Here is a 5,057-nt window from a genome sequence, read left to right on the forward strand (position 1 = left end):
ACCTAATCACCCTTACACCGCTCAATGCCAATATCCCATCCCACAGCATGCTTTGAAAGGATTAAAGCCTGTTATCACTCGCCTGCTACAGCATGGCCTTTTAAAGCCTATAAACTCTCCTTACAATTCCCCCATTTCTCCTGTCCTAAAACCAGGCAAGCCTTACAAGTTAGTTCAGGATCTATGCCTATCAACCAAATTGTTTTGCCTATCCACCCCATGGTGCCAAACCCATATACTCTCCTATCCTCAATACCTCCCTCCACGATCCATTATTCTGTTCTGGATCTCAAACATGCTTTCTTTACTATTCCTTTGCACCCGTCATCCCAGCCTCTCTTCACTTTCACTTGGACTGACGCTGACACCCATCAGGCTCAGCAAATTACCTGGGCTGTACTGCCGCAAAGCTTCACAGACAGCCCCCATTACTTCAGTCAAGCCCAAATTTCTTCTTTATCTGTTACCTATCTCAGCAAAATTCTCACAAAAACACACGTGCGCTCGCTGCTGATCATGTCTGATTAATCTCCCAAACCTCAATCCCTTACAAAACAACTCCTTTCCTTCCTAGGCATGGTTAGTGCGGTCAGAATTCTTACACAAGAGCCAAGACGGCACCCTGTAGCCTTTCTGTCCAAACAACTTGACCTTACTGTTTTAGCCTAGCCCTCATGTCTCCGTGCAGCGGCTGCTGCTGCCCTAATTGTTCTAGAGGCCCTCAAAATCACAAACTATGCTCAACTTACTGTCTACATTTCTCATAACTTCCAAAATCTATTTTCTTCCTCATACCTGATGCATATACTTTCTGCGCCCTGGCTCCTTCAGCTGTACTCACTCTTTGTTAAGTCCCACAATTACCATTGTTCCTGGCCCAGACTTCAATCTGGCCTCCCACATTATTCCTGATACCACACCTGACCCCCATGACTGTATCTCTCTGATCCATCTGACATTCACCCCATTTCCCCATATTTCCTTCTTTCCTGTTCCTCACCCTGATCACACTTGATTTATTGATGACGGTTCCACCAGACCTAATCGCCACAACCAGCAAAGGCAGGCTATGCTATAGTACAAGCCACTAGCCCCACCTCTTAGAACCTCTCATTTTCTTTCTATCATGGAAATCTATCCTCAGGGAAATAACTTCTCAGTGTTCCATCTGCTATTCTACTACTCCTCAAGGATTATTCAGGCCCCCTCCCTTCCCTAACAGCAAGCTCAGGGATTTGCCCCCACCCAGGACTGGCAAATTAGCTTTACTCAACATGCCCCGAGTCAGATGACTAAAATACCTCTTAGTCTAGGTAGACACTTTCCCTGGATAGGTACAGGCCTTTCCTACAGGGTCTGAGAAGGCCACCGCAGTCATTTCTTCCCTTCTTTCAGACACGAGTCCTCAGTTTAGCGTTCCCACCTCTATGCAGTCTGATAACAGACCAGCCTTTATTAGTCAAATCAGCCAAGCAGCTTTTCAGGCTGTTAGTATTCAGTGAATCCCTTAGGGTCTTCCGTCTTCAGGAAAAGTAGAACAGACTAAAGGTCTTTTAAAAACACACCTCACCAAGCTCAGCCACCAACTTAAAAAGGACTGGACAATACTTTTACCACTTTCCCTTCTCAGAAATCAGACCTGTCCTCAGAATGCTACAGGGGACAGCCCATTTGAGCTCCCGTATAGATGCTCCTTTTTATTAGGTACCAGTCTCATTCCAGACACCAGACCAACTTGGATTGGGCCCCAAAACACTTGTCATCCCTACTGTCTTCTGTCTAGTCATACTCCTATTCACTGTTCTCAATTACTCATACATGCCCTGCTCTTGTTTACACTGCCAGTTTACACTGTTTCTCCAAGCCAGCACAGCTGATACCTCCTGGTGCTATCCCCAAACCACCACTCTTAACTCTTAAAGTAAATAAATAATCTTTACTGGCAAGGCTATGATGAACCTCCTTAGGCACTCTCTAATTAGATGTCCTAGGTCCTCCCAAATCTTAGTCCTTTAATACCTGTTTTTCTCCTTCTCTTATTCCGTTTAGTTTTTCAATTCATACAAAACTGTATCCAGGCCATCACCAATAATTCTAAATGACAAATGTTTCTTCTAACAACCCCACAATATCACCCCTTACCACAAAATCTTCCTTCAGCTTAATCTCTCCCACTCTAGGTTCCCACGCTGCCCCTAATCCCGCTCGAAGCAGCCCTGAGAAACATCACCCATTATCTCTCCATACCACCCCCAAAAAATTTTCACCATCCCAACACTTTACCACTATTTTGTTTTATTTTTCTTATTAATATAAGAAGACAGGAATGTCAGGCCTCTGAGCCCAAGCTAAGCCATCATATCCCCTGTGACCTTCACATACACATCCAGATGGCCGGTTCCTGCCTTAACTGATGACATTCCACCACAAAAGAAGTGAAAATGGCCTGTTCCTGCCTTAACTGATGACATTGTCTTGTGAAATTCCTTCTCCTGGCTCATCCTGGCTCAAAAGCTCCCCCACTGAGTACCTTGTGACCCCCACTCTGCCCGCCAGAGAACAACCCCCCTTTGACTGTAATTTTCCTTTACCTACCCAAATCCTATAAAACGGCCCCACCCCTATCTCCCTTCGCTGACTCTCTTTTCGGACTCAGCCCGCCTGCACCCAGGTGAAATAAACAGCTTTATTGCTCACCCAAAGCCTGTTTGGTGGTCTCTTCACAAGGACGCCCATGAAAATGGTGAAACGAGAAGTCTTCCTCTGATGGAAGGTTTTTCTCGATCGAAGAGTTCGTGGTCTCACCGGCTTCAAGGAATGAAGTGTTACTGCTTGATTAGAGAAAGGTGCGGACCCAAAGAGTGTGGGGCGGCAAGATTTATTAAAGGGAAAGCGAAAGCGAAAGTAAAGCTTCGCCGATGAGGAAGGGGACCCGGAAGGGTTGCGTTTCTGGCTTGGATGTCTTATGCTTATATCCCCTCATGATTCCTCTCCTTTTCCTTTCTCTGTTCTATAGGACTAGCTTATTTTCTATTCCCTTGTGGGTTGGTGGACCTAACTGGTTAAAAACATCAGGCTGCAGGTAGAGCTTAAACTCCCTATATGATTGGTTGAAGTTTCATTCCCTTAGTTTGCAGCTATAACTCATTTTGGCTTAGGGGAACGTCCCTTTTGATTGGTTGAAGTTTCAATCCCTTAGCTTGCAGCTATGACTCATTTTGGCTTAGGGGAAAGTCCCCTTAGGGAAGTCCCTATTGGGCCTGGAAGTCCAGCCAACTTAGCCACTTAGTTCCTCAATGGGAAGAATCAGATCTAAAGCTCTGCTCTCTTTCTGGGATTTCTTTGGTTTGGGGGAGTGCCAGGGATCACTTTGTACCATGAAAGCACATGACCTTTTAATGTGCAATGGCCAAAAACTCATTGGTGAGTGCTAACTGAAGTTTTGGATGTGACTGACAGAGCTTATGAGGAATGGCTATTACTGCAGAGAGCCACTCATTTATTTGTGAGTATAGGTAAGAAAAGTGTGACTTGGAGCCCTGGAGGCTATGAAACACCACTGAGGGATAAGAATTCCAAGTGGGATGGACTGATCACAGAATGGGCTTATTGGTGTTGGGTTGCCCACCAGCCTTGGGGGGAATGTCCTTGCAATGAGCTGCACTGTGGCAGTGTTGCAGACTCATGATGTTTCCCTCTTTCTGGGATCAAAAAATTCAATGAAAAAGTGGGATTCTCAATTGGGGTTGATCTAAGTGTTTTGTTTTTCACCTACGCCTACTTTTCACATATTTAAATATTAAGGCCTTAAAAACTGCATGCTTTCTTTGTCCTATACATTAAGGGACTCCATCTGGAAGTCAGTAATAGAATCAAGAAACAAGTTAAGTTGAAAAAACTGCCTACCTAACTAGATTGGTTTCCAAAATATGACTTATTGGCATTAAGCTGGCTATTTTTAAATTGTTTGTAAAATAAATTTACATCTACAAAGGAAATCTCCATTTATAATGGCATCTTCCTCTCTGTATTTAAGCCACTAGAAATTTTTGAGATGAGGAAAACATTGGCTTAAAGTTTACATAACAAATCTTATCTTTGTTAAAGATACTTTTACTGGCAATGCTGTCTTTACTAAGCCTTTATCTATTCTCTTCTTTGTTTAAGCAAATACGGTGTTTAAATGTAAGTTCTACGTCTTTGGGATGTAAATTTTTACTTAAGAGTCATGTCTTTGGAAGTACAAATTTAGAGTTGCCTAACCAGCTAACAATTATTTAGAGCAATGGAACAGATGAGGAAGAGATTGATAGAATAAAGTGGGCAAAGAAACTGTTTGAAGAAGAATGTTACAACACTGTAGAATTTGCTTCTGTCTATATGTTTATATACATGATATTTTACTACCTATATGTATTAAATAAATTCGATCAGTAGACAGGCTTTTTATGAAGTTTGTTTTTTCTTCTTTCCATATTACAATTTCTAGATGCAAAAACTAAATCTTGCTACTCTTCTGCCCCTTCTTCTTAGATGAAAAGCCACACAATTTCCTAATCTTAACCAACCAGCTACTTTCTCCTACAATGGTCCTGCAAAAAAACTCTCCTTACTAATGCTAATGTTGTTTTGTGTACAGATAAATCATACTTGATGATTCTGGAATTTATCATGCAGGTTATGTTATAGGATCTTTAACTGAGAATACAGAAAGTGCTTATCTTCCAGAAGCAAACTTGGCTCAACAAGCTGAGTTAATAGCATTAATTAGAGCTTGTCAATTGGCAAAAGGAACAACTGCTAATATTTATAGAAATAGCACATATGCTTTCAGAGTAGCTGATGACTTTGGAATGTTATGGAAAAAAAGAGAATTTTGAACATTTCCTATCAGTCTAAAGAATGGACACTTTGTTTCAGAATTTCTGGAAGCCATATTATTGCCAAAAGCATTAGCTACTATCAAGATTCCAGACCACTGAAAGTCAGACACTACAGATAGCAAAGGACAGCAATTATCAAATAATATAGCAAAAAGGGCTCCCTTAATGTATCTG

At 42.1% G+C, this 5,057-nt stretch overlaps 5 annotated features.

The window, feature by feature from the left end:
* Positions 474-649: a silencer, noted in NCBI's record as "fragment chr4:133042782-133042957 (GRCh37/hg19 assembly coordinates)". NCBI's record gives its function as "represses an EF-1alpha promoter that drives an FKBP-Casp9 reporter gene in an ReSE screen in HepG2 liver carcinoma cells {active_cell/tissue: HepG2}" and the evidence as "EXISTENCE:reporter gene assay evidence [ECO:0000049][PMID:32094911]".
* Positions 3,038-3,407: an enhancer, noted in NCBI's record as "active region_21906". NCBI's record gives its function as "activates an Ori minimal core promoter by ATAC-STARR-seq in GM12878 lymphoblastoid cells {active_cell/tissue: GM12878}" and the evidence as "EXISTENCE:reporter gene assay evidence [ECO:0000049][PMID:35858748]".
* Positions 3,038-3,805: a biological region, named in NCBI's record as "NANOG-H3K4me1 hESC enhancer GRCh37_chr4:133045368-133046113".
* Positions 3,060-3,805: an enhancer, noted in NCBI's record as "NANOG-H3K4me1 hESC enhancer chr4:133045368-133046113 (GRCh37/hg19 assembly coordinates)". NCBI's record gives its function as "activates a minimal SCP1, AML or CMV promoter by ChIP-STARR-seq in naive H9 embryonic stem cells {active_cell/tissue: H9 hESC(naive)}" and the evidence as "EXISTENCE:reporter gene assay evidence [ECO:0000049][PMID:30033119]".
* Positions 3,806-4,550: an enhancer, noted in NCBI's record as "NANOG-H3K4me1 hESC enhancer chr4:133046114-133046858 (GRCh37/hg19 assembly coordinates)". NCBI's record gives its function as "activates a minimal SCP1, AML or CMV promoter by ChIP-STARR-seq in naive H9 embryonic stem cells {active_cell/tissue: H9 hESC(naive)}" and the evidence as "EXISTENCE:reporter gene assay evidence [ECO:0000049][PMID:30033119]".

Source organism: Homo sapiens, chromosome 4 (genome assembly GCF_000001405.40).
Source record: "Homo sapiens chromosome 4, GRCh38.p14 Primary Assembly".
NCBI classification, from domain to species: Eukaryota; Metazoa; Chordata; class Mammalia; order Primates; family Hominidae; genus Homo; species Homo sapiens.